The 26,686-nt window shown below is 54.4% G+C and overlaps 1 protein-coding gene and 2 long non-coding RNA genes across 9 annotated transcripts, besides 4 other annotated features; 1 reads left to right on the plus strand and 2 right to left on the minus strand.

Annotated features, from left to right (window-relative positions):
* LOC124903700 (uncharacterized) lies at positions 113–4,769 on the plus strand. Its single transcript, XR_007065089.1, has 2 exons — positions 113–406; positions 2,750–4,769. It is a non-coding gene; the product is annotated as an uncharacterized LOC124903700 (long non-coding RNA).
* Positions 6,863–7,758: an enhancer, noted in NCBI's record as "H3K27ac-H3K4me1 hESC enhancer chr16:66933011-66933906 (GRCh37/hg19 assembly coordinates)". NCBI's record gives its function as "activates a minimal SCP1, AML or CMV promoter by ChIP-STARR-seq in primed H9 embryonic stem cells {active_cell/tissue: H9 hESC(primed)}" and the evidence as "EXISTENCE:reporter gene assay evidence [ECO:0000049][PMID:30033119]".
* Positions 7,444–13,015, minus strand: LOC107984821 (uncharacterized). The gene is made up of 3 exons (XR_001752244.2): positions 12,846–13,015; positions 8,348–8,423; positions 7,444–8,248 (listed from the first exon to the last, which is right to left on the minus strand). It is a non-coding gene; the product is annotated as an uncharacterized LOC107984821 (long non-coding RNA).
* Positions 7,759–8,652: an enhancer, noted in NCBI's record as "H3K27ac-H3K4me1 hESC enhancer chr16:66933907-66934800 (GRCh37/hg19 assembly coordinates)". NCBI's record gives its function as "activates a minimal SCP1, AML or CMV promoter by ChIP-STARR-seq in primed H9 embryonic stem cells {active_cell/tissue: H9 hESC(primed)}" and the evidence as "EXISTENCE:reporter gene assay evidence [ECO:0000049][PMID:30033119]".
* Positions 10,928–13,412: an enhancer, noted in NCBI's record as "VISTA enhancer hs1760". NCBI's record gives its function as "enhancer in: heart[14/14]" and the evidence as "EXISTENCE:transgenic organism evidence [ECO:0001131][PMID:17130149]".
* On the minus strand, positions 15,877–26,640 carry CDH16 (cadherin 16). Of its 7 annotated transcripts, none has more exons than NM_001204745.2 (18): positions 26,559–26,640; positions 25,776–25,833; positions 25,397–25,480; positions 24,029–24,184; positions 23,820–23,958; positions 22,975–23,133; positions 21,971–22,167; positions 21,246–21,368; positions 20,886–21,036; positions 20,419–20,646; positions 20,259–20,335; positions 19,997–20,185; positions 19,654–19,895; positions 18,937–19,070; positions 18,015–18,140; positions 17,741–17,848; positions 17,022–17,138; positions 15,877–16,244 (listed from the first exon to the last, which is right to left on the minus strand). In NM_001204745.2, the coding sequence occupies exons 2-18, from the start codon at positions 25,818–25,820 to the stop codon at positions 16,147–16,149; spliced, it is 2,373 nt and encodes a 790-aa protein (NP_001191674.1). In that variant the 5' UTR covers positions 25,821–25,833; positions 26,559–26,640; the 3' UTR covers positions 15,877–16,146. The 7 variants fall into 7 exon arrangements, with proteins under 7 accessions (NP_001191674.1, NP_001191673.1, NP_004053.1 ...); NM_001204744.2 differs by having other exon boundaries at positions 18,015–18,191; NM_004062.4 differs by having other exon boundaries at positions 18,015–18,257.
* Positions 19,701–20,202: an enhancer, noted in NCBI's record as "H3K4me1 hESC enhancer chr16:66945849-66946350 (GRCh37/hg19 assembly coordinates)". NCBI's record gives its function as "activates a minimal SCP1, AML or CMV promoter by ChIP-STARR-seq in primed H9 embryonic stem cells {active_cell/tissue: H9 hESC(primed)}" and the evidence as "EXISTENCE:reporter gene assay evidence [ECO:0000049][PMID:30033119]".
* Positions 26,641–26,686: the final 46 nt, after the last annotated feature.

A 26,686-nucleotide genomic window follows, 5' to 3' on the forward strand; every position in this document is an offset into this window, starting at 1 on the left:
CAGAAGAATTGCTTGAACCCACGAGGCAGAGGTTGTAGTGAGCTGAGATGATGCCACTGCACTCCAGCCTGGGCGACAGAGCGAGACTCAGTCTCAAAAATAATAAATAATAATAATAATAATAATAGTAGTAATAATAAAATAGCTCTGTGGACTCTGATAATGCTTTCGCTCTTATGAGTAAAGCTACATATATTTAACTTATACACATGCCAATGTCCCATCATTTTAGAACATGATAAAGGGAACACAGGGAGAATTAAATTTTTTTTTTTTTTTTGAGATGGAATTTTGCTCTTCTTGCTCAGGGTGGAGTGCAATGGCACGATCTCAGCTCACCACAACCTCCGTCTCCCGGGTTCAAGCGATTCTCCTGCCTCAGCCTCCTGAGTAGCTCGGATTACAGGTATGCGCCACCATGCCTGGCTAATTTTTAGTAGAGATGGGGTTTCTCCATGTTGGTCAGGCTGGTCTCAAACTCCTGACCTCAGGTGATCTGCCACCTCAGCCTCCCAAAGTGCTGGGATTACAGGCTTGAGCCACCGCATCTGGCCAGAATTAAAATTTTTAAATTGAGCTGTTTGAGCTCTTTAAATAGAGCGGGGAGGAATTAAACTTATAGACTTATTTTTTGCCTTTCATCTCTATAGGTTTGTTTGTTTATTCGTTTTTTTTGAGATAGGATCTGGCTCTGTCACCCAGGCTGGAGTGCAATGGCATGATATCTTCTTACTGCAACCTCTGCCTCCTGGGCTCAAACCATCCTCCCACCTCAGCCTCCAGAATAGCTGAAACTACAAGTATGTGCCACCATGCCCAGCTAATTTTTTTTGTATTTTGTAGAGATGGGGTTTTGCCATGTCATCCAGGCTGGTCTCAAACTCTTGGCCTCAAGCGACCCTCTTGCCTCGGCCTCCCAAAGTGCTAGGATTCCATGTGTGAGCCTCCATGCCTGGCCCATCTCTAGAGTTTCTGTTTCCATTTTACTTGATGCTACTAAATGCCCTTAAATGGTCCCCAGCTTAGTGATCCTCTGAATTGTTGGTGGCCAGTGCTCCAATCAGCTCTCTGGGATGGATGAACCTTTACTGATGTCTGTGGGTCCAAATATCTTTGCTCCATTGGCCCCTGACTTTCTCTACCAGCAAGCAGCCTTGATCTGGGAAATCATCTAGCTGGGAGGAGCAAGGCAGGAAGTGGGAGGGAGGGTGGAGTGGGGGAGCGGGGCTGTGGAGGCCTGGGCTCCAGTTCTGATATATATGTGTGTATATATATATATATATATATATATATATATATGTATATATATTTTTTTTTTTTTTTTAGCAGGGTCTTGCTCTATTGCCCAGGCTGGAGTGCAGTGGTGCAGTCATGGCTCACTACAGCCTTGAACTCCTGGCCTCAAGTGATCCTCCTGCCTCAGGCTCTCAAAGTGCTGGGATTACAGATGTGAGCCACCGTGTCCAGCCCCAGTTCTTTTTCTTTTTTTTTTTTTTTTTTTCATTTTTTCTTTTTTTGAGACAGAGTCTCACTCTGTCACCCAGGCTGGAGTGTAGTGACGTGATCTTGGCTCACTGCAACTTCCACCTCCTGGGTTCAAGTGATTCTTGTGCCTCAGCCTCCCGAGTGGCTGGGACTACAGGCATGTGCAGCCACACCTGGCTAATTTTTGTATTTTAGTAGAGATGAGGTTTCACCATGTTGGCCAGGCTGGTCTCGAACTCCTGACCTCAGGTGATTCACCTGCCCCAGCTTCCCAAAGCAGGCCCATTAACCTAGCCCCTGGGAGAGTGGTCTGTGGAGGGAGTCTCCAAAGCCTACTCTGTCTCAGATCTCAACTCCTTCTGCCTTTCTGGGATTCTGGGAACCCCTCCCATGCCTCACCCCATTTTCCCTGCAACAGATGAACAGAAGGAATGTCTGCCATGAGCTACTGCTCTGTCCACCCTGCACAAGCTTGTGACCCCGTGCAGTGGGTCTGGGATGGGGCTGCAGGGCCACTGTGGAGGCAGCGGGACTAGCCATTGTGGCTAGGTGGGAGGAGCCCTGCAGGTGACCTCCTGGAATGGGAAAATAAGCAAGATCATGTGGTGGCCTCAGGAAGGGCTGGAGGCATGGCTGGCTCTTCATCAGCATAGAGGTAGGGAGGGGGCAAAGCAGAAAGTCCTGCCTCAGTCCCCCACTTTCCCTGCATGTTGATACCAGGGCTTTTGGGTATTCTTGTTTCCTCGTTTGCCTCCTCCTCATCCCCACCCCTGTGGCTACAGTCCTGGTCCCCTGTCCTGCCCTGGGGGTGCACAGGCTGCCTGTGGAATGAGTGAGGAAGGATGGGAGGACTGATGGTGTGGTGGATAGACAATTCAGGGAGGAGCAGGTGAGAGAGAAGGAGGCAAACAGTGAGTGGCTGCATGGCTGTGAAAAGCAAGGAAAGTTGGTGAGGAGTGTCCAGTACCAGAGGGGCTTTGGGTGTGGGTGGATGGAAATGAACAATTCGCCAAAAAAAGAACACTACATAGCCAGGTGTAGTAGTGCATGCCTGTGGTCCCAGCTACTTGGGAGGCTGAAGTGTGAGGATCGCTTGAGCCCGGGAGGTCAAGGCTGCAAAGAGAGATGATCGCACCACTGCACTGCAGCTTGGGTGACAGAATGAGTTCCTGTCTCCAAAACAAAACAAGACAAAACAAACAAACAAAAACAGAAAAAGGGGAACACTACAGAAAGGTGAGGGCCATTCTGTGTTCTCACTCAGGGCCCTGGACACAGGATGATCCCGGATGGTGAGGCGGAGGTGAGGACATTGCTGTATGAGCGGAGAGTTGGCTGAGCTGCTAGAATCCCTTCCTCTGAAACGAAGCAGTGAAGGGATGGTGTGGGGAAGGTTGTCAACCAGCCAGCATGCTCCTGGGCCTGTGGAAGGGGAGAGTGTCCACGGTTCACTTGGGGTCCCAGGGACCTTGCCAGCCCTGTACTGGGCTTTGGCATGAAGGGGTGGAGAAGCTCTTCCAAGCTCTGACTGGTGTCTTGGTTACTAAATCCTGAGGGTGGCATGATGAGAACACCAGTGGGGAGCCTTTGGCTGTGGGGTTCTGTGAGTGAGGCAGCATGAAGCAGAAGTTGCCTCTAGATGTCGCCATCTGACCACACTGGCATCAGCTGAGTGCCGTTGGAGGAAAATGTTCATGAGATGCGGCCTGAGGCCTGTCCCCAGCCCAAGCTGGGTCTCCTGGCGACTGCAGCTTGGAGCACCTTTGGAAAGCCTCCTGGGACTTGGGATGTCTTTGGGGCTGGGAACAAGTGTGGGTGGAGGAAGGGCCGGTCCTGTGGTCACCCAGCCCTGTCTTGTAGGGAAGGAACTGCTGGGGTCCCAGGAGAAGCCAGAGCCAGGCAGTGAGCTCCAGATGGTGGGGGAGTGGCTGCCACCTTGACCATCTTCCCCCGCATGGCTGTTCTCCTCTGTGGACCACCCCATGCCTCTGACCCCCATCCTCCCTACCCCATTCCCTACAGCCAGTCCCCACAACCACTCTTCCAGCAGCCCGGGGGGCCATTCCCATCTGTCCTCCCCTGTCCCAGTTCCAATAATGGACTACACCACCTTTATCTTCCACTGCCCCAAATGACGGCTGTCCGTCTAGTCAGTTCCACCCACTACACCACAGTCATCGTGACCATGTCACTCCTTTGCTCCGAACCATGGCTCCCCCTCACCCTAAGGAGGAAAGCTCAGACTCCCTCTCCCCAGGGTGGCCTCTCCAGCCTCCTCCATCTGTTCCCAGCAGGGTGGGCATGGCTGTCACATGTTCCTAGAACATGCCAGGCCTTTGGCCTTGCTGTTCCCTCCGCTGGAACACCTACCACTGCACCATCCACCTCCACCTGTCTTGTTCCTGCGACTCAGCATGACTCTGCTGAAGCATCCCCTGCCCTGGGAAGACTTCCTGGCTTTCCAGGCAGTACCAGCTCCTGTCTCCAGTTCCCATGGCACTGGGACCTCCATCACATCTCCTCAGATAGCTTGCCAATGTCTGTCAGTCTGTCTGCCCTCTTGGCGGCACCAGGGACCTCCTCTGACTCTCCTCTGAGTCCCCAGGGATCAGCCCAGTGCCTGGTATGAAGTAGGCACTTGCACATGCATTTAAAATGTTAGGGAGGAAAGAGTGGGAAAAGAGAAAGAGATCCTTGTCTTTCCTCACAAGCTGAAGTCACCTCTTGCAAGCATTGGGCCTGTGCCCTGGTTATCCCTGGGATGGAGCCGAGAACCCTCCAACTTTTGCTTCTTGCTATGGGCTTTTTGTTTTGAGACAGAGTCTCACTCTGTTGCCCAGACTGGAGTGCAGTGGCAGGATCATGGCTCACTGTAGCCTCAACAATGTCCGGCCTCTAAGCCCAAGCTAAGCCATCATATCCCTTGTGACCTGCACGTATACATCCAGATCACCTGAAGCAACTGAAGATCCACAGAAGAAGTGAAAATAGCCTTAACTGATGACATTCCACCATTGTGATTTGTTTCTGCCCCACCCTAACTGATCAATGTACTTTGTAATCTGCCCCACCCTTAAGAATGTTCTTTGTAATTCTCCCCACCCTTGAGAAGGTACTTTGTGAGATCCACTCCCTGCCTGCCAAACGTTGCTCCTAACTCCACCGCCTATCCCAAAACCTGTAAGAACTAATGATTAATCCACCACCCTTTCTTTGCTGACTCTCTTTTCGGACTCAGCCCACTTGCACCCAGGTGAAATAAACAGCCTTGTTGCTCACACAAAGCCTGTTTGGTGGTCTCTTCACACGGACACGTGAGACAAACTTCCCCTGGCTCAGGTGATCCTCCCACCTCAGCCTTCCGAGTAGCTGGGGCTACAGGCGTGCACCATCACCTGGCTAATTTTTGTATTTTTTGTGGAGATGAGGTTTCGCCATGTTGCTCCAGCTGGCCCTGTTATGGTTTTAAGGATAACCACAAATTCCTTGACACTCTTTCCATCAAGGAGTGGGGTCTAATTCCTCTCCTCTTGAATCTGGGCTGGCCTTAGAGTCTTGCTTATAACTGTCTCACGCACGTCCATGTGAAGAGAGTCCACCAAACAGGTTTTGTGTGAGCAACAAGGCTGTTTATTTATTTTGGACTCAAGGCGGGCTGAGTCCGAAAAAGGAGTCAGCAAGGGTGGTGGGATTATCATTAGCTCTTATAGGTTTGGGGATAGACGGTGGAGTTAGGAGCAATGTTTGGCAGGCAGGGAGTGGATCTCACAAAGTACCTTCTCAAGGGTGGGGAGAATTACAAAGAACCTTCTTAAGGGTGGGGGAGATTACAAAGTACATTGATCAGTTAGGGTGGGGAAGAAACAAATCACAATGGTGGAATGTCATCAGTTAAGGCTATTTTCACTTCTTTTGTGGATCTTCAGTTGCTCCAGGCCATCTGGATGTATAGGTGCAGGTCACAAGGGATATGATGGCTTAGCTTGAGCTCAGAGGCCTGACAACAACTAATAGAATATAGTAAGTCTTTATATAATGTCCTCACTTAATGTAGTTCTTGGAAATTGCAGCTTTAAGCAAAATGACATACAAGGAAACCAATTTTGTCATAGGCTAATTGACATAAACAAGAGTTAAGTTCCTACAGCATATTTCTGGTGATAGAAATATCATCAGACTTCTAAATAAAGACCCAAATGCTTCTCATATTAAACATTGAAACACGTGTAAGAAAGACTAATAGAAACAAGGCCAGGTGTGGTGGCTCACACCTGTAATCCCAGCACTTTGGGAGGCTGGGGAAGGTGGATCACCTGAGGTCAGGGATTTGAGACCAGCCTGGCCAACATGGCGAAACCCTGTCTCTCCTAAAAATACAAAAATTAGCCGGGCTTGGTGGTGGGCACCTGTAATCCCAGCTGCTCAGGAGGCTGAGGCAGGAGAATTTCTTGAATCCAGGAGGCGGAGGTTGCAGTGAGCCAAGATTGTGTCATTGCACTCCAGCGTGGGCAACAAGAGTGAAACTCCATCTCAAAAAAAAAAAAAAAAAAGAAAGAAAGAAAGATTAATAAAAACAAGTAATAGAATTATTTATCCAGTTATTCCAGTTCAAGGTCATGGATGGCTGGAGCCTATCCCAGCAGCTCAGGGCGCCAGGCGGGAACCAGGCCTAGACAGGATGCCATTGCCTTGAGTACACTCACACTCATGCAGACTGGGAGCATGCAGACAAGCTAGTTAATCTAACATGCACATCTTTGGGATGGGGGAAGAAACCAGAGTACCCAGAGAAAGTCCTCTACAGACTCCACACAGACAGTAGCCCCAGCCAGAAATAGATTTTTTTCTTCATCAATGTTGTAACAAAATAATGTTGAACAAAATGAGCCAGGAGTGGTCGCACACCCCTGTAGTTCCAGCCACTTGGGAGGCTGAGGCAGAAGGATCGCTTGAACCCAGGAGTTTGAGGTTACAGTGAGCTATGATCATGCCACTGCACTCCAGCCTGAGCAATAGAGACCTGTCTCTAAAACAAACAAACAAACAAACAAACAAATCATTAAAAAAAATAATAAAAGCTTTCAGTGACATCCTCCCATTTCTGCCTCCCACCATCCTCCCCTGCTTCCAAGGAGTCAGAAAAATGTCACAATCCCTTCATGATGTGCAAGGCTGAGTGTGACCTGGCCCTGCCCACTCTTCAACCCCATCTCATACCTCTACCACTTCTGTGCTTCAGCCACTCTGAGTTGCTTCCAGTGAGGGAGTCTCTCTGTTAACTGGACATAGTAGGGACTCAATTTGTGATAATTTGTGATCATAAACTAGGTCACATCTGTGAGCCTTGCTGAGCACTTTACATGTATTATCTCATTTAATCTTCATGCAACCCTATGATCAAGTATTATTAACCCATTTTACAGATGAAGAAACTGAGCCTGGGCATGTAAAAGGTTGTGCCCAAGGTCACAAAAATAGTAAATGCAGAGTCGAGTTTGAAACCCTGGTGTCTGAATCCAAACCTTCCTCAGCAATCATGTGATTCTACCGAATAGGTATTGATTTGATAAGAAGCATGTGCTCCACCTGCTCCCCAAAGGCCGGGCAGCAACTTAGGAGGGAGAGTGAGCTGTTGGTCTATGGAAGCATTCTAGCAAGAGCTGGGGAGCACTAGGCAAGATGTGAATTGGACGGAGTGTGGGGGCCCCACCCTGAGGCTGGGACCTCTGCCTATGCCTGGGATTGGGGGCTGTGTGCACGCATGGGTCATGTGATACCCTGTATATGGCCTTTCCCTGTGTCCAGGCCAGCCTAGTCCTTGGGGCTGGGGGTGGGCAAGAGCAGGTGGAAGCTTGGGGAGCCCGCCTCGAGCAGGCAGAGTCCAGCAGACCATAGCCTGTCCACTGTCCTGACCCTGTGGCCCTGGACTGGCCTCTGCCCTGGGCCTGGCACCTCTGGCTTGGGGAAGGGCCCAGAACTACTCAGGCACACAGTGAGGCCTGCCCTCCCACCTGCTACCAGGCAGAATTTATCTCAACTGAGTGAGAAATAGAGAGAGGGAGAGAGAAAGAGAGAAAGGGAGAGAGAGAGAGAGGCAATTGCGTAAGAGGATTTGAACAAAAATGGTTATGGCACTGGTGTTTGTAAGAAAGAGAAACTGGACACTGTTTACATGTCCTCCTCAAGGGCTGGACAAAGAGATTCTGATGTGTCCATCCTGGCAGACTTTAGAAATAATTAGGAAAAGAAAAAGTGATGGGGGAAGATCTTTATAGTTTATCTGACAGGAAACTGCTAATTGTCAATACTGTAAATGTTGGGGGGAATTGATCACAAAACAGAATGTACAGTGTGACCCCAAGTTGAAATCCTTCCCCCAGCCCTCACACACACTCTTCCACCAGCTCCCTCGTGACTTACCCTGTTGGCCAGTGGCCAGAGGGTGGGGGAGGGGGCTTATCTTGGGAAGTGGATGAGATCACCCCGAGGCTGGCTGGTTTAGTACCGGGTAACCTTTTCTACCCTTATGGCTCTCAGAGGCTTCTGTGCTGGCTCCTAAACCTTGGCGCCAACCTCAGGCTGGAGGGGGTTATGCTCCCCCTCCCCAGGGTGGAGATGGTGGCCAAAGCCGGATAGGGCACAGGTGCTGGGCTGACGCAGAGATGGAGTGGCAGAGGGGGTCTGGGGAGTTCCAGGGCTCAGCTGGGACCCTATGAGAACTCTGCTCCCAGCAGATCTGGGTGTCCTGTCATTTCCCAGGGACCTGTGTGTGCAGAAAATACATTTTGTGGATACAGGAATATCCCAGAGGATAGCCACTGTGTGAAGGGCCGAGGGGTCTCCCTGGCAGTGCCTCTAACACCTTGGCATGTCTTGGGATTCCAGTCAGCCAGCCGGGCTCTCCTCGGACAGGACTCCTCTTGTTTCTGGCCAAAATTCTGGTGAGGATGGTTGTGGGGGGAAGAGATAAGTCTGTGTTGGGAAAGGGACTAGGGCTCAATTCCAGCTCAGCAAATAAATATTCTGTTCAACCCTCTGCCTGCCCCCTACCTCCCACGCCCCCACTCTCCCACCCCCCGGTGCCTATCAGGCGACTTCCAGCCTTAAGGAAACTTTGCAGTGTGTCCCAATCCCCTGAGCACAGCCACACCTCTGAGCCTTTGCCCAGACAGTTGTCCCAACCTGACCACCTTTCCCCTCTCCAGCTGCCTTTGTCAACCCCCACCCTGGAGCTGGGTCAGGTGCCATCTGTCCCCAAGTCAGCGTCCATCATGTCAGCTTGTCTATGTTCATCTGGGGTGAGCCTGAGGGCAGGAGCTGGGTCCAGGGAAAATTCTAGGACATGCTGGATGAAGGAAACAGTGGGCTCCTGGAAGGGATCAGGGGTTGGGAGAGGACCAACTGTGTGCTCAGACCAGCTGTTCTGTGCCAGGGCCTCGAGGGGGGCACCTAGGAGCCTCAGGCCCCTCAAACCCCACAGCAAACAGCAAGAGAACAGGGTGTGGGGCACTCTGCCTGGGCTCTGCCGGCGAGGAGCAGGAACTGGACAGAACCAGAGTGAGCTGGAGTGTCTCCTCCTTAGCCTGGGCCCTGGGCAGCAGGGCTGGGAATGGAATTCTCCAGTTGGATGGAGCTGTTCCTGGAAAATCCCTATATGCCCTCCCAGAAATGTGCTCTTGTGCCTGGCTCTTGCTTCTTCAGAGTTGGAGGAGAAGGGACCTTTCTGCTGCTAGGCAATTCAGGCAAGGCCCTTACCCTCTCTGGACCCCTGGGCCTAGACTCCAGGACAGATGAGCAGGGATTTGTGCATCTATTGAGTGCCATCTGTCAGCCTCACTAAATTCTCTCACCCACCCTGAGAGGCAGGGATCAGGGTTCCCATCATTTGGGAAGGAGGTAGATGCTCGGAGATGCCAAGTGGCTTACCCAAGGTCACATAGCGGAGTTGGGACTCAAGCCCCTACCGATCGAGCGTCAGCCTGCACGCAGTTCCAGCCCCCGACCTACATTTAGGGTCCCTGAATGGACAGAGCAAGCCCGCAGGCTGAGGATGCCACTGCCAGCTCAGGTCCACCTGACTGAGGCCAGGCCTGGCCCTGTGCCTGCCACTCAGAATAACCCTTGTGGTTCTGGGCATGGATCGTGGCCCATCACCTGGGACCTATTTTTGTCCTTCGGGTAACAAGGAAGTCTCACCTTGTGCAGTAACTGTTTGGGACAAGGATGGAACATATGACCCCCCAACCCCAGCTGATCTTGCTGCCCTGCTGGGAAGTGACCCCAATAGGGAAGGGGAGGGCCTGCCCCAGCCACTTCCCAGAACTTGGCTTCCTACCCTCATCCCCCTCTTCTCAGCAGCCCATACCCCTGCACACACACACACACACACACACACACACACACACACCCCATAACCAGAGTCCCAGAGCATCTACATTTGTCCTTAGGATCCATTGCCACGCCTTATGCAGTGGCAATGCCACTTTCTCACATCTAGCTGTGGACCAAGCCCATTTCCTCAGGTTCCAGTCAGAGGGCTCTAGAACCCAGGTACAGTGGCCAGCCAGGGATCTAGCATCTAGAACTGGACATTCAGAATTGGGGGCCTGGAATCCTATGGGGCAGTGGCTGATGGCATTTGAAGAAATCACAGAAGCTGTGGGCACAACTACATCCACTCTGAAAGGTCAAGTGCCATCTCGAGGGTCAACCCCAAAAGCCTTATATAGAAGGGGGGATTCCTGTATGGAGTGGAGCACAGAGACATAGAGGGCACCCCAGCAGACTGAGAGGGGCTGCTTTCTGCTGAAACTAGGCGTGTACACATGTATGGGGATGGGGTGGGAAGGGTCATGTCCCGAACCCAGTAACATAAAATAAATGCATAGAAAAAAGACTGGAAAGAAATCTGGTAAAAACATAACTATAACAACAAAACCAAGAATGACTGCAGCTGTAATGACAATAATAACAGAAGCTGTTCCATTTTTTGAGAGCCAATTATGTGCCAGCCTCTGTGCTAAGTAAGGGCTTTGCTTGTATTATCTCAGTTAATCCCCACAGCATGCTCTTCTCTGGGTGGGGGTGGGTGGGCAGTGGCCTGTGGGGTGTGCTCTGTAAATGTGGTTGTTTTCTGCCAGGTCTGCAGCTTCCGCAGAGGTAGACAGAGGAGCCCTTAGGCCCCATCTATAGGAGATGTCGTGCTCTCCTTGCCAGCAATGCAGGGTGTGAGATGGGATGGCCAGCCCCCTTGGGGATGCCTTCGGGGAGCCAGCCAGGCCCACTGAGCTAACCTCAGCCCCCACTTGGCCCTACTCCTCTAGGCGTTGGGGCTCAAAATAGCAGCTGCTCGAGAGCTGACAATCAAAGGCCAGCTAAAAAAAGGCCCCTCAGTCTGGGCTCTGTCGCACACGGCTCGTAGAGCCTATTTTAGGGGAGAGGGTGCCGACATGCCAGTGGAAAATCCATAGGGCGGGAGTCTCCCAAAGTGGGAGACCCATATGCCTCCCTCTCCCCACTCTGGCCCCCCCACCCAAGTGCTCACGTGCACACACACTCACATTTTGCAGCCGTCAGCCTGCTTCCTGACCACTGGACCCTGTCATCTCCACCACAGCCCAGGAGAGGGATGAGGAAATTGAGGCTCAGAGATGGGAATTGACTTGCCCAAGATCACGAGGCTGGGAAGTAGGCAGGACAGCCACCAGATGGGGCCACTGTGGCTCACAGTTCAGTGCTCTCCCGTGGAAGAAGCCACATCACTGAGGAAGCCAATACATTGTTCTCTGGAGTGCCCAAAGCTCAGAGATGGGGCCAACGGTGGGGTGTTCTGGGTTGGACTGAGGGTGAGTAGGAGCTGAGGGTGACCTGTGGTCTTAGTCTCCGCATGGGAAGAAATCTCACTAGAACCCCCCAGGCCAATTCTGAGGGGACCTTGCCTGGCTGTGGGAGAGGCAGCTGGAGCGGGTCCTCATCGGCACTGAGCCCAGCCCAGCCCCCTCATCCTATCCCTGTGACCACCTCACGCCCTGCCCCGCCCAGGCCCCCAGAGGCTGGCAGGCCCTGCCAAGTTTCCAGGGAATGTGTCAGATAAAGGGCTGGTGCTCATGACTCTCTCCCACGTAGCAGCTATCTCTGACCCTACTGCCACTACCACTGCCACCGCCACTGGGAGGTGGATAAGAATAGCAACAGCCCCAGTGAGTGGGCACCCACAGGGACACAAACCATGTCTTTAGGTGTCCAGCCTCAGCCTCAGACTGAGGATGAGTCTCCAGGTTCCCCTTTCCATCAGTTCCAGCCCCACCTAGCTCCCCCATCATCCTGGGCCCAAAATCCTACCACATCTTAGGGTAAAACTCCAAGCCTCATCCCTTGTGGCTGCTGCCTCAGCAGGGGGAATCTGGAGGGGATGCCATCGCCACATTGATCCTGAGCTGGGGCCTGAGCCCTGCCCTTCACTGGGGAGCTGTATGACATGGAGCTGGACATTGTCCCTCTCAGGGCCCACAAGCAGGGCAAGGTGGCACAGCAGCCCCTGGAGAATGAGATAGCCAGCCGAGGCCTCTCCAGGGGCTGGGTACCCCGTTGTCCTGGTGACCACAGTCTAGTCTGGCTTCTGAGTGCCCCTGTGAATTCTGGCTTTCTGGTCAGTGGGGATGTGAAGACAGTGAGGGTCCTCATGTCTCACAGATAGGGGTCACTGGGATACGACCACTGGGTGGTGTTGGGGGGGCCCTGCATGAGTCCTGTGACACTCCTGTGAGGGTGTGAGGGTAGCTGCGTGACTACAAGGTAAGAGGCTGTTGTCATGGAACCCATGGTGAGCGTAGTTGTGACACCGGAATCGGGAGATCCAGGGAGCCTCATCTCCAACTGTGACACATGGGGGTGATGGAGGGAGCCGAGTCCCAGTCCCCACATCAGTGACTCCTGCAGCTCTCACAGCCTGACTCATTGCATGGCCCCGGACCTGGTACCCCCAGCCTCCTCGCCCCCGGCTCTGGCGCCTTTCTCTCCTCGCGTCCTCCCTGTTCTCAGGCGACTCTTCCTCTTTTGTACCCCCCCCATGTCACCCACCTACCAAAGGGGTCCCAGGGAGGAGGTCAGGGATGCTAGGGAAGAACGAGGAAGGGTGGGCCGAGGCAAGCTCCTCGCACACTCACACATTCCGATGCGTGCATCACACAGACCAGACTGCAGCATATACTTATACACCCACAGACACACGTGTGCACACACGCCTGGTAGAGTGACTGGGCCACTAAGAAGCCTCCCAAGCTCAGTCTTCCAACATCAGCCCTGTCTGGTAGGCCCCCACCACCCCTTAAGTCAGGGTCCCATGCCGCTGAGGCCCTCACATTAGAAACGCATCCTCCCGCCGCAGCAGTGTGTCTGGAGGTGACACCCTAGGAAGAACTTCTGCCCCGAGGCCCCAGCTAGAGTCCTGGGTGGGTGTAGGTAGATGTGGGTGGGGTGGGGTCTCTGAGGGCCCGAGACTGTTGCTTTCTTTGTGGGTGAGGGCCAGACTGACCTCTGGGCCTCCGGCTTCAAGAGCCCTAATCGCTGGGGCTGGAAAAAGTTTAAAAATATCCTCATGTTTACATTCTTTCCAAGCTGCCTCCTGATCCTCCGTGCTGGGTCCCTTTGATCTGGCCCAGTGCCTCTGGAAGGGGCCTGGGAGAAGGGGAGCATGAGGCCTCTGCTGGGGCCCACCCCTCAACCCCCTCCAGCTCCAGCCCAGAACCCTGTGAGACCCTGGACATCACAGACCCTAAGAGCACCTGGGCACTGGAAGGGAGCTGGGGCTGGAAGGGGTGTCTTGCACTCTTGCTTTGGGGCTGGAGCTGGGGCCCCTCTCCAAACTCCCTCCCAAAAGCCTGGGCCTCTTGGGACCTCTAGGGAGTGTGTGTAAGTGCGGGGATGTAGGTCCCTCAACAATCCATGCACTGGGGAAAGTCACATTTACTGAGCCCTGCAGTGCCTGGCACTGTGCTAAATGCATTGTGCAGGGATTATCTCATGTAGTTTTCCTAACGACAAAAACTTGTATCACCAAGTAAGCCAAGGCTCTGAGAGGTGAAGCAGTTTTCCTGGGAACACATCGCATGGATAAGCACAACACATGCTCTTCTACCCATAGAGCTATTGGTTGGCCCCCACCTTGCTCTAGCAGGGGCGAGGCCCTGCCTACAGAATGAAGCCTGCCTCACTAGCATTAATCTCTACAGGCATTCACTGGCCCACTGCCAAGCCTAGAGACCAATCAGCTTTGTGTCTCTCTTCCTCTGCGACCCAGGATAAGCCACACCCCCTCTCTGATCCTCACCTTTCTCTCTTTCTGTTTATGTAGAGACAGAGTTTCACTTTGTTGCCTAGGCTGGCCTTGAACTCCTGGCTTCAAGCAATCCTCTCACCCTGGCCTCCCAAAGTGCCAGGATTACAGGCATGAGCCACCGCACCTGGCCACCTTCCTCTGCAGAATGGGGCTGAGGATACAGGAGAGTTTTATGTCCCCAGATGCCCAAGGAACCTGGGCCCTTGTCTGTGGAGAAGGGGCTTGTGGACCTGGCGGTCAGCTCCAGCAGTGACAACCAAGAGTGGTCCGGGGCCTGGAGGCCCGAGGAAGAAGCCCTCAAACTAGAGCAGATGCCTTCATTTGCCCTGGTATCCTGTCATCCACCCTTTCGTCTGTGGGTCTCCCATCCACCCGATTACCAACCCACCCATCCATCTACCCACCAATCCATCCAGCCATGCATCTGCCTAGCCATCCACTTATTCATTCACCCATGCACCCTCCTATCTCCCTACTTATCCATCTAGGATAAGGGCCAGAAAGTGGTGGTTATAGCTCAAGTGACGCATCTTATGGCTGTATGAACCTAGAAATTTCCCTCCTTCTCTTTGCAATTCACCTTTCCATCTTTACAAGAAAGAGCTGATCTGGGTGATCTCTAAGGCCCTGCTGGGAAATCTTGAGGGAGCAGAGACCACCTGAACGCTGTGGACATTTCCAGAGAGGTAACACGGACCTTGGACAGATAGTTATGCCATGTACCGTGGTTCTAAGACTCCCAGCTACGGCCCTTAACCTCCCTGATCTTCAAGATCCTCCACTGCAAAATGGGGCCAATAATCCACCCTCGTAGGTTGATAGGAAGATTAGATGAGACACTACCTCCAGAAGATTTGCACCCTGAAGACTTCTGAGTGCATGCAGGCTGAGCAGAGGATATCCTGGCAGAGGGGCAGGGAATCCCTGCCTGGATGAGGGTAGCCAGCAGAGCCTCCAGTGGGGGTACCTGAGCCAGGATGACAGGGGCCAGCCTCAGAGTCCAACCCCTGGGCTGGGGATCCTGGCTGAGTCTTTGCCAGGTTGCCCGCCCTGTCTCTCTTAGCTGGGCTTGGCCCCTATCCCACAGAATCTGCCAATAGTGGAGAGATTATCTCCTAAAAATAGGGCCTGGGCCCCACAGAGGTTGTTTTTCTCCCTTTCCCGTGATTGACCATCATCAGCTCATGGTGCTTGGGACAGCAAGTCCCACCCTGACTCCCCAGAGATGGTTGAGAAGGGGACATGGGGATCAGCATGTATCTTGAGTCACCCACAGGTCAGGGATTAGAGGTCAATCTGGAGAGCTCAGCTCCTACTTAGCAGGGCTCAGCCGGGCTCAGCAGAGCATCAGGACATGGCTTAATCTTGGGCCAGGGTCAGGGGTTCACCTCAGAGAGGGGCAGCTCCAGAGTAAGCCACGGGGGTGCCTGTCCCGCTCCGATTGTCTCCATCTAAGTGACTCCCCTTCTCTGATTTCCTGCAGATGCCCTCATGCACTCACCAGCCTGTGTGTGAAACACAGCAGTGCCTTGGAGCCTACACTGGGGCAGAAGGACGCATCCCCAGCCTCACCTCACATGCTCCTGACCCATGGGGCCTCACCATCCTGCCCAGGGCCCTGCAGAGACTGAGGGGCCTCTGCCCATCCCTGGGTGTAGGTGACTCATGCACAGGAGCACAAGGTGCTCACACATGAGCAGAAGATGGGGACTCACAAGGTTTTGCCTTCCCATAGCAAAGATGACATCCAGGAAAACACAGAGATGACACCCTCAAAGACACCCCTCCTTGACCATCACCTGCATAGAGTTCACCCATCCAGGGTCTGTAGCTGGTGGGCTCTGGATGCCCACAAAAATGACCCACTTTGCTGTGGCCCCAAGCTCTCACCAATAGCCCATATGATGTCTTCATGTCCTTCCCTGCAGGGGACCTCAGTCTTGTCCTTCAAGCCCAGACCCTTTCTATGTGGCAGGAGATGGGGAAGGGATGAAAAAGCAGGTGTGTGCACACTCACACACACACATGCACACATAGACACTGAGACACAGACATACCAATCCCATAGGGCCCAGCCCAGTTCTCTGGGGCTTTATTATTGGGCAAACACCCTGACATTTGGAGCACTCCCATGGGCAGTCCATAAAGTTGGTGTCCAGGCTCTGCAGACATGCCTGGTGATGGTGATGGTGCCTCCACCCCAGGGCAGATGGAGGGGCTTCTACTCTGTCCTGTCCCCTGCTGGATCTTGGGTGCTGGGCTCTCTCCCAGGGGACTCAGATGGAGCCAGAGGCCAAGCTCCCAGCTAGAGCTGCCTGGGCCATTCAGACAGTCGCCTTCAGGGGCACGCTGTCTGCTGGTTGATCCGGGTCCTTCTTCCTTGACATGGTCCAGTGGGTGAAAATGAGGATGAGGAAGATTCCTGTGGGGCCCAAGAGGGATGTATCAGGCCTCAGAAGGGGCTGTGGGACTTGTTCATCACGAGGGACTTCCTGTGATTGGCATTGGATTAATGAAGAGATGAGTTTCCTGGACAGCATCCTGAGGCTGGGCTGGGTATGACTCTGTGGTGGTGCCTGGAGAAGCTTGACTCCTCGGCCGGCTTGGCCCCTACCCCTCTGAGGCTGACCCAGTATACTCAGCCTCCAAAGTCCCCTTCTCTTGGGGACATCGGGGAACCAGTAAGTTGGATCCCAACTCCATGGACCTCCAAGAGAAAGGCTCATCACAGCAGTGTGCTAGAACCAGCAAGGAAAACCAGCAAGGAGAAAATTTGAGGGGCTAAAGAAATAAAGGGGATAGAAGGGGTGGCTTAGACTGATGCAATTAGGCTAGAAAGACCTGGGTTCTGTCACAACCTGACTGTGTAACCTTGGACCAGTCACTTAACCTCTCTGAGCCTCAATGACCTCATCTGCAAAATGGGGAGATACCAGGATCTACCTCACAGGGTTGCTGGGAGGATTCCTGGCAATAGTCCCTGCCACACAGTCAATGTGCAATCATGTGACCGTAGATGCTACTATCAATGATGATGACAATGACTATGATCAAAGGGCAGGCGCATAATGACTAGGAGAGTTGGGGGCTTCCTTTTTCAGAGCTAGGGGCACCATGGGGACAAAGGTGTTTATTTGGAGGCTGTGGTCCCAACCACCCATCGCCCTCGCCCACGCAGGTAATGTCCAACCTCCATTACCTATTGCTACCAGGGTGCCTACAAGGATGCCCACTGCCGACAGCTTCGTGGGCATGCCCTTCATGCGGCCCACCTTGCGCATGCACTGCCCCTCCACGTTGCAGCGACACACGATCACTGAGGGGAGAGGGGAGGAAGGTAAGGGGAGGGAGGGGAGGGCTCCCCAGCTGCTCAGAGCCCCCAGCCCAGCCACCTGGCTGATATGTGTGTGTTTCTGCACATGTGTGTATTCACATGTGTGTGAAGATATATGCGCTAGCCAGGCGTGGTGGCTCACACCTGTAATCCCAGCCCTTTGGGAGGCCGAAATGGGTGGATCACTTAAGCCAGGAGTTCATGGCTGGCATGGTGAAACCCCATCTCTACTAAAAATACAAAAATTAGCAGGGCATGATGGTGCACACCTGTAATCCCAGCTTCTTGGGAGGCTAAGGCAGAAGAATTGCTTGAATCTGGGAGGCGGAAGTTGTAGTGAGCCGAGATCATGCCACTACACTCCAGCCTGGGTGACAGAGTGAGACTCTGTCTCAAAAAAAAATGTATGTGCCTCTGTGCCTGTTCCTGTGTGCCCAGGTATGTGTGCCCAGCCATAGGTGTGCAAGTGTGCACAGGCATGTGCTGTCCACATGAGCAGCCTGTATGCATGTGTACCAGCTCCCTCCCCTTGCATCCCAGCGGTTCCCTCAGGAACTGCAGGCTGCACCCAAGCCCAATCTCACCTCGAACCAGGAGCTGCCACATCTGGGCATTGTGGCTGACCACCACGGGGATTATGTGTTCACGTGGCTCCACCCAATGCAGGGCCAAGGTGAGGTAGGCATGGGAACCTTTTGGGACAGCAGGCAAAGACCAGGGTCACCAGCCTGGACAGGCCCTCTGGGGGCTGCTCCCCCTAGGCCTAGCCCCACCCCCATGGTAGAAGGGTATCTCACTTCCAAGTGACACCCCCTCCCTGCCTTGGCCACAGCCTCCCTCCCTTTCCCCACCACACACCATTGAGAGTCTGGAGGCGCCAATCCCGTTGCACCGTGGGGTTGGGACCAAGGGTGAAGCTGTAGGGACCGTGCCCACTGGCCAGATCGGGGTCCTTGCTGGGTCCACTCACGATCAAGCCATGGTCTTGGCGGGGTGTGCAGAGGTATTGGGAGGGCACAGGGGCAAGAGTCAGGGCTGGGGCAGGAGGGGCCTTTAGGAAGTGGATCACCAGGGGTGCAGAAGCGCTCAGTCTCGGCTCATCTGCAGAGGAGGCAGTGCTGAGCTGGCCAGGTGTTGCCAGGGGGAGGGTGAGCTCTGAGGTCCCTGGGCTGCTCCCGCAGCCCATGAGCCTCGCCTTATAGACTCCCCTGCCATGCTCCCTCCATGCTTCTCTCCACCTGTCATCATCCCCATGCCACTGTGGACATCCCTGACTTTGGCGGAGCTCACTGCTGCTGGGTCTGCCCTGTATCACAGCCCAGCTCAGAGTTGAAACCTGCCTCCCGGGGCTCCCCACCCCAGGGCCAGCTCTCTGTCCTGAGCAGTGTTCAGTGTCCTCCACACCTGGCTCCAGTGGCCCATTCACTCCAGCACTCCTTCCCCAGGGGCAGCCCCTGGTCCTCCTGCCACCTCCCCGGCCCTATACCAGTCCCTGAAGCTGACACCCTGAGAGGCCCTCCAGTGGCTAAAGGACAGGGCTGGGAGATTTTGTGTGTCAATCTAGGAGAATGATCAGAGAGGGGAGGCAGATGCCAGACTTGCCCACCGGAGGAGTAGATCCATTCTCAGAGAGGAACATTGAACCCAGCTTCATATCTGCCTCTCCTGCTTGGGGCTGGGGGTTGCCAGTGAGGGCCTCTGGGAGGAAGCTCAGTCCTGCTGTCTGTCTGTCTGAGGTTTGTACCCCCTCCCAGGGGCTCCCATCACTGCCTGGCCATACCTGTATCCTGGGCCTCCACAAGCACCGTGTAGGTGTCCCCAGGCTGGGCGCCCTGCAGGGACTGGGCGGTGTGCACCTCCCCGGAGAATTTCTCAATGCAGAGCCAGCCCTCTGAGTCATTGACTAGGGAGAACCTGCCGCCCAAAGAAGGAGGTGAGGAGGTACTGGGACTACATATAGGGTTTTGCTCAGAATCCCCCAGGGCTGTGTGACTTGCTTAAATTCCACACCCTCTCTGTGACTCAGGGGCCACAGCAAAGCCTGGGGGGCCCAGTCTCTCTCTCCAGCTTCAGGATTTGTTGTGGTGGTGGTGGTGGGTGTGGGATGAAGAACAGATCATGTGGGTAAGGGAGAAACTCTTAGAGCCTGGGAGGCCCATTTCAACTTTGCTCACTCCAGGTCACCCTGCAAGGGAATCAGAGTCTATGAACAACCTTGTCTGTCTGCAATCTGTTGGGGGGCATTGGAGGAGGGCCTGGTCCTCCCTCCAGGTGCTGAGGCATAATCTGAGCTCTCATGGGGTCCAAAACACCCCTCTCCATGCCCCACCCAGTCCATCCAGCCCCGATCCCTGCCAGGAGTCACAACCTTGGCATTTGCCATAGTTTGAGAAATTTTGCAGGCCACAGATAATGTGAGTCCCCTCTGAGGCCCTGGGGTCATCCCCAGGGAGCAGGGGCAATCCAGTCCAGGTAAGGGGCTGGGATTTTAGCTCACCTGAGGGTTCGGCTGATGGGGTCGGAGGGCTGGATGGTCAGCAGGAAAGAGCCGGCTGGGGCACTGATGGGGACACTGGCCTCGTAGCTCTCCTGGTCCAACTTGGGGGGTGGCATCACTCTCTCCACTAGCACAGTCACCGTGGCGGTGGCTCCAGGGCCTGGGCCTGGCCCCACCAGCTTCGCCACACTCTGCACCACCACCACCACCTCATGACTTGGAGCTGCCTCATAACTGAGGTTCTGGAACCAGGAGGCCCAGGTCACTGTGCGGGCCTGGGCAAGGCACATGTGCATGCATGCGTGCATGTGTGGGCCCCTTTCCCAGCTACCCAGGCCCTCACCTTGCAGAGTCTGAGTCTAACATGCCCAGAGTCTGGCTCCCAATCCAGGCCAAAAGTCCCTTCTGTGTCTCCCCTCTCAATGGCAAAATCCATGAGGCGGAAGGCGGGCTCGAGGTCAGCATCAATGGCTGTTAGCATGGCCACCAGAGTCCCGGGCTCCACATCCTCAGGGAGGCTTATAGGCCCAATCTGGAGGAGGAGGAGGGATGGTGAGCCCCCCACCAGCATCCTTCCCAAGGCCTTCTCCCCTGCGTCTGCTTACCTGGGAAGTGATGAACTCAGGGGCGTGATCATTGATATCTGTGACTGCGACTTCGACTTCACACGTGCTGCTGAAGCCTAGGGCAGAGGTGGACGTGTTGGTGAGGTCAGGGTAGGAACAGAGGGGACAGGGGGCCTGGGTCACCAATCAGGGCACTTACCACCCTCTGCGCCTGCCAGGTCCATGGCCAGCACCAGAAGCAGGATGTTCTGGCCTGCTCGGAGTGGGAGCACCCCCAGCGTCACACTGCCTGAAGTGGGGTCCACCTGGAAGGCTCTCCCCTCTACCCCATCCTCAGGCTCAGGGCTCAGGAGCTGATACACAACGTGGGAATTGGGGGAGCCGGGGGCATCTGCATCCTCTGCTGACAGTCTAGTCACTTCAGTACCTGCCAAGACAGCACCCGCCTGGATAGGACCACAGCCCAGCCTGGAGACCTTACCCCACCCACTCCTTATTTTGTGCCAAACTAAACTGAATTTGAGCTCGTGTGTGTGTGTGTGTGTGTGTGTGTGTGTGTTATGGAGGGACATTGACATGGGGGCCTGAGGCTGGGTCCTTATCCCAGAGAAGAGCAAGACCAGGTGGTTAATAGAGACTTCGTCCCTCTCCCATCCTGTAGCTCACCTGGTGGACTGAGCTCAGGGATGCTGACTGTGGGGTCACGGGGAGGGCAGATAGGCACGTTGTCATTCTCATCCATCACCAGCACGTGCAGCTCCAGAGGGGCCGCATAGTCCTCGCCATGGGAATTCTGAGCCCGCACCTGGAGCAGGTACTGCGGTGGGCAGTAGGGGGCTTCAGGTCAGGACCAAGGGCAGCTCCAGCCTTGCCTGGCTCTGAGTTTCCTTCCGGTGGGCCAGCTCCAGCTCTTCGGGGCTCTTTCCCACTGCCTCAGCCTCTGTTGTAGTTGTGACACCCCCAAAAGCCAACTGGACACTGACCAAGCACCCCCAGCCTGCATCCCTGGCTCCCCCTTCATATCACCTCAGCCTGGGCTTCTCTGTCCAGCTCTCTGGTCACGTAGAGGTTTCCCTCTGCATTCACTTCAAAGGGTCCCGGGGGATGGCTCTCCAGGTGATAGTGCACATCACCCCCACTCCAGTGTACCTGGGGGGGACACCCCGGGCCAAGGGGCAGGAACAATCCATGTCAGCCTTTGCGCCCCATCTGATTTCTCGTTGAGGAGCCTGAGCCCAACTGTGTGACCCAGGCAAGGTGCTGCCCTCCCTGGGCCTGGAGTCCAGGTGGGATCCTTCTGTTCAGGGCACATGTTGTTAGTGGCCTTGCCCTGATCCAAGCCTGGACCCTGCCCAAAGTGCTTGAGTGACCATGTTACTTTATTTTCTGCCCTCTCAGCCTGGGCCTGACCCCAGGGCATTCCTAGAAGAGGCCTGAGACATTCCTGGCCCGGGGTGACAATCCCCATGGCAGCAAGAGATGGCAGCTGTTCTCTCTGAGGAAGCCCTGGGCAAGTTCAAGAGGTCAGAGCACAGAGTCACGCCTGCTAGAGGATGGCAGAGCAGGCGAGGGGCTGTGGGCCTGCGTCCAGGGCCTTGAACACCCCAGTCCACAGTGGGAAGTAATGGGAAGAGTGGAGGGAGGAGCACGGGTCATGAGGGTTCCAGACCCAGCCCCCAAATATCCATGAGACTCGGGCCTGGCTGCACCATCCATGGGGCTGCTTCAGCCACTGACAGCCACTTACTCACCTGGGCCATGTGGTGCGGGTATAGGACTTTGAGATTCTCTGCCAGGTGGATAGGCTCTAGGGACACCCAGGTGCTCTCTATGATGGAGACTTCCACGGTGGCAGTGGCCTGGTGGCCTGAGGCCTGGTCACCCATGTCCTTGACCTGTACCAACAGCTGGTAGGTCCTCTCCAGGGCGTGGTCAAGGCTGGTGCTCCCTAGAACAGGGAGGATGGTCAGCTGAGCAGGCAGCCAGGGAGCAGGGGCCAGGGCATCATTCTCAGCAAGATACCAGACACAAAACCAAGCATACAGCAGGTGATTGGGACACTCTCTTGGCCAAGGGAAGAGAGGAACTTTAAGCACTGTTGTGAGCCTCCAACAAGGACATGACAGTTTGCAAAGCCACCTCCATATCTCTCCACACAACGAATGCGTGATAGACTAGAGAGGTAGGTGGATGACCAGGATGAGGAGATGGGTAGATGGCAGATGATGGGTTGGTTGGATGAATGGGTGGTTGACTTGGTAGGTGGATGGGAGTTTGAGTGTGTGAATAGGAGAGTGTTTGGATGAGTGATGGGAGGTTGGATGGACTGTGTAGGTTGTTGGGCGGTAGACGGGTGAATGCGTGGCTGGCTATGATGATGCCTGATTCACTTTTCTTTCCAACCCTAGTTCATGCCTCTGGTCTGAGCTTCCAGGTCCAGGTCTCTTCCGCCATCAGTCGCAAGGTTGCCCAGCAGCATCTTAGGCTACAACCCCTTAGACTGTTCCTATCTTTGTCCCTTAGGCCCAGGTCTCCGTGGAGTGTGGAGCTGAGGCCCTCCATTCACACCATTTCCTAGCTCTCCATGCCTGGCCCTGCCTCCACAGCCCCCTGCCTTGTTGCTGTCTCCACCTAGAGTGCCCTTCCCTCCCTTTTTACCTCTCAAGCTCCCACCCATGCTTGTCTTATGGTTCAGATACCACCTTCTCCAGCTTTCTCTGACCCTCCCTCCCCAGCACACCCCGCTCGGGCTTACCCTTGGGGCTGAGGGCCAGAGCCCCCAGCCGAGGCTCCAGCTGGAACATGTCTGGGGAAGGCTGGGCTGGAGCCTGGCTCAGGATGTGGAATCGAAGATCCGAGTTGGCTGTGCCTGGCTCATCCCGGTCTGAAGCCTCAAGGAAGAGGAAGGGGATGCCTGGTTCACGGTGGGAGGGCAAACTGTAAGGGATAGAGAGGGTGGGGAGAGTCTCCCATGCCTCTCCTATTTCTCCTCTGTCCTTTCTTCCCTATCCATTATCACATCAGGACTCCGGAGATGAGCCACGGCTTTTCGTCCTACTTCCCAGATGAGCAAACTGAAGCCAAGAATGGATGGCACCCTCAGTGGAGTAGGGAGGAACAAGGTGGGACAGAAATGGTACAGGATGGGCCAGGTGCAGTGGCTCATGCCTGTAATTCCAGCACTTTGGGAGGCTGAGGCAGGCAGACCACCTGAGGCCAGGAGTTCGAGACCAGCCTGGCCAACAAGGCGAAACCCCGTCTCTTTTAAAAATACAAAAAAAATTAGCCGGGCATGGTGGCGGGTGCCTGTAATCCCAGCTTCTTGGGAGGCTGAAGCAGGAGAATTGCTTAAACCTAGGAGGTGGAGGTTGCAGTGAGCTGAGATCGCGCCATTGCGCTCCACTCCAACCTGGGTGACAGTGAGTCTCCATCTCAAAAAAAAGAAAAAAAGAAAAGAAAAAAGAGAAAAGAAAAGAAAAAAGAAATGGGACAGAAATGGCTGCCCTGTCCTATGCCAACTGTCTGGCCATCTCTTCGCTCTCTGCTGTTCCATCAAGGCCCACCTGACCTTACTGTAAATTGGCTGCCCTGGTCACTCACCAGGCCTGGTACCCCGGCTCAGCCGAGCTCTGTAGATGGCTTGAGAGAAATGGGGCACCTGGTCATTCTCATCCTTCACGTGCACAAGCACAGGCTGTGGACCCCACAAGACATGTCCATCCTGCATCTCCAGGGTGACCTGGCAGGGAAGGGGAGTCAGCGTCTGGCTCTGCCTTGCCTGCTCTCCCCTACACCTGGCCCAGCCATACCTGTAGCTGGTACTCTGCCTGCTCCTCTCGGTCCAGGGCCCTGGTCACCAGCAGGAAGCCAGAATCTGGATCCATAGCAAATGGGCCCTCAGTTGCCTTGCCTGAGTCCCCTGACAGCACGATCTGGCCTTCAGCCCCCTCACGGGGCAGCGGCAACTGATGGAAATGAACAGAAGTGAAGGGAGCGGTGGCCAGGCCTGGGAGATGCCCCTCCTCCACCTGATGGCCTCATTTTACATGTGGGGAAACTGAGTCTCAGAGACATCTGGCTCCTGTCAGAGGTCACACAGCCAGTAAGCATCAGGACTGAGACTCAGAGCCAGAACTCTTTTCCCTGGACCTGATGCTCCCCAAAACTCTCTGCCCTTCTTTCTGAAGCTTGAAACCTCACCACCGAGATTTCGTTCTTTAATCTAAAGCTCTGCTCTCCACTAGGATTAAAATCTGTTAGTCATTCCCACTGCAGGTTGAGCATCTCTAACCCGAAAATCTGAAATCTGAAATACTCAAAATCTGAAACTTTTTGAGCGCCAATATGATGTGACAAGTACAGAATGCCGCATCTGACCTCATGTGACAGGTCACAGTCAACACATAGTCAGAACTTTGTTTCATGCACAAAATCATTAAAAATATTCGCCCAGGAGCAGACTCACACTGGGCTCTTGGCCACTCAAGGATTCTGTCGGAATTTCACCTCTGTACTGTCAGCTCCTTCTGGCCATAGCCTCCCCAGCTCGCAAATCCCAAAGTGGTAATCCCAGCACTTTGGGAGCCCAAGACGGGCGGCTCACCTGAGGTGAGGTGTTCAAGACCAGCCTGGCCAACATGGCGAAACCCTGTCTCTACTAAAAATACAAAAAAAAAAAAAAAAAATTAGCCAGGAGTGGTGGTGCATGCCTGTAGTCCCAGCTACTCAGGAGGCTGAGGCAGGAGAATCTCTTGAACCCAGGACGTGGAAGTTGCAGTGAGCTGAGAACATGCTACTGCACTCCAGCCTGGGCGACAAGAGCGAAACTTCGTCTCAAAAGAAAAAAAAATGTATAACGTTACCTTCAGGCTATGTGTATAAGATGTATATGAAACATAAATGAATTTCCTATCTAGATTTGGGTTCCATTCCCCAAGATATCTCATGATATATATGCAAATATTCCAAAATCTGAAGAAAAAAAAAAATCCAAAATCTGAAACACTTCTGGTCCCAAGCATTTCAGATAGGGGACACTCAACCTGTGTAACGTGTACATACTCTCTGGAAAGCAGGATTTCAAAGAGAAACAGCAAGAGGAAGGGTGCCAGAGGAAGGAGAAGCAGGACTTTGCGGGGAGGGATCCCCCCGGCCCCAACCCCAGCTCTCCGGCTCACCTTGGTCAGGTATAAAGGGAAATTTCCACCATAGTTTTCTGGAACTTCCACAGACAGCTCTGCAGGCTGGGCCTTGGGGAGAGCCTGTGGGAGGATTCTCACCTTGTCACCAGGCTCTATCTTCCTGCGTGGGCACTGAGACCCAACAGAAGAGCGGAATTTCCGCCCCTTCCCAGGGCCTGGCTGTACCTTAGTCCATCCACCCGCGCTCTGGTCTTTGACCTCCTCATCCCACAGTGGCTCTATAGTCCCAGCTCTGACCCCTCCCATGCCTTGCACCGTTCTCACGGTCAGTGCAATTGGTCCAGGTGGAGTTGGGGGCAAGGGTGTCAACCCCCAAAGCCAAGACCTGAAGGAGAGGGGGCAGGGCCTAGCTCACCTGGGGGACGGAGACACAAAGCAGCCACAGCCAGGCAGGGACCATGGTCAGGACAGGCCTGAGGGACACGGCAGTGAGGATCCAGCCCAGGTGGGTAGGGAGGGGCTTTCCATCCCACACACACAACTAGTGGGATCGTACTGCAGACTAGTCTTCTCTTCCTCCCCTCCAAAGGAGCTGAGGCTCTCCATCTCCTGCAGGGTAGTGCCCTGCTCCTCGGCCAGGCCCACCAAGGCCCCCAGGCCCAGCCACCCTGCTTCTAGGCTCTTGGTCCATCAAGCACTCTATCAGAATTTCACCTCCAGACCTCCAGCTCCTTCTCACCATAGCCTCCCCAGGCCGCAGATCCCAAAGTGGTAATTTTCTAGCAATCCCCCAAATCACAAAAGTTTGAAGCTGGAAAGTTCCTGAAGACTTGGAGGGTCACTTCCTGAAGTCACCTCTTGTTGCAGGCAAGGCCTGAATGCTGGGGTCTGGCCAAGGTCACAGAGGACTTGACCACAGGAGGAGTCCTCCTAGCTCAGGGCCTCTGGGACTGTCCTGCCTCCCACTGCCACCTTCTAGACAAGGAGAACCCCCGGAGCAGGAGCCCGGCCCTTGTCTCATCATTTTCCAGCCCTTGTCATGGAGCTGGGCAGGCAGAGCAGCGACAAATCGACAACCCCTCTAAGATGAGGCCCTGGGAATTCTTTCCCAGATGGCGAGGACAGGGCAGTGTTTCTCCTTTCCCCACCACCAACCTCAGCCTCAGCCATGCCCTCCCCTCCACTCCCAGCCCCTCACCCTCCAGCGCCCAAGACTGGCTCCCTTGGTCCAGCTGCCAAGCAAGAAGAGAGCTCCTTCTCCAGGGGGCTCTGGCCAGGCTGGGCTGGGTGGGGCAAGGCAGGGCACTTGAGCAGGTAGGAGGGTTC

This window comes from Homo sapiens, chromosome 16 (genome assembly GCF_000001405.40).
Source record: "Homo sapiens chromosome 16, GRCh38.p14 Primary Assembly".
NCBI classification, from domain to species: Eukaryota; Metazoa; Chordata; class Mammalia; order Primates; family Hominidae; genus Homo; species Homo sapiens.

Bases quoted from the DNA above. Each gene is read 5' to 3' on its own strand.
- CDH16 (NM_004062.4), bottom strand. From the start codon at position 25,820: ATGGTCCCTGCCTGGCTGTGGCTGCTTTGTGTCTCCGTCCCCCAG. The intron at 24,185-25,396 runs GTGAGCCGGAGA...CATTTCCATCAG, and splicing joins TCCCTTTATACCTGACCAAG to TTGCCGCTGCCCCGTGAGGG. The intron at 20,647-20,885 runs GTGAGCTACAGG...CTGTCTTGGCAG, and splicing joins CCCTGAGCTCAGTCCACCAG to GTACTGAAGTGACTAGACTG.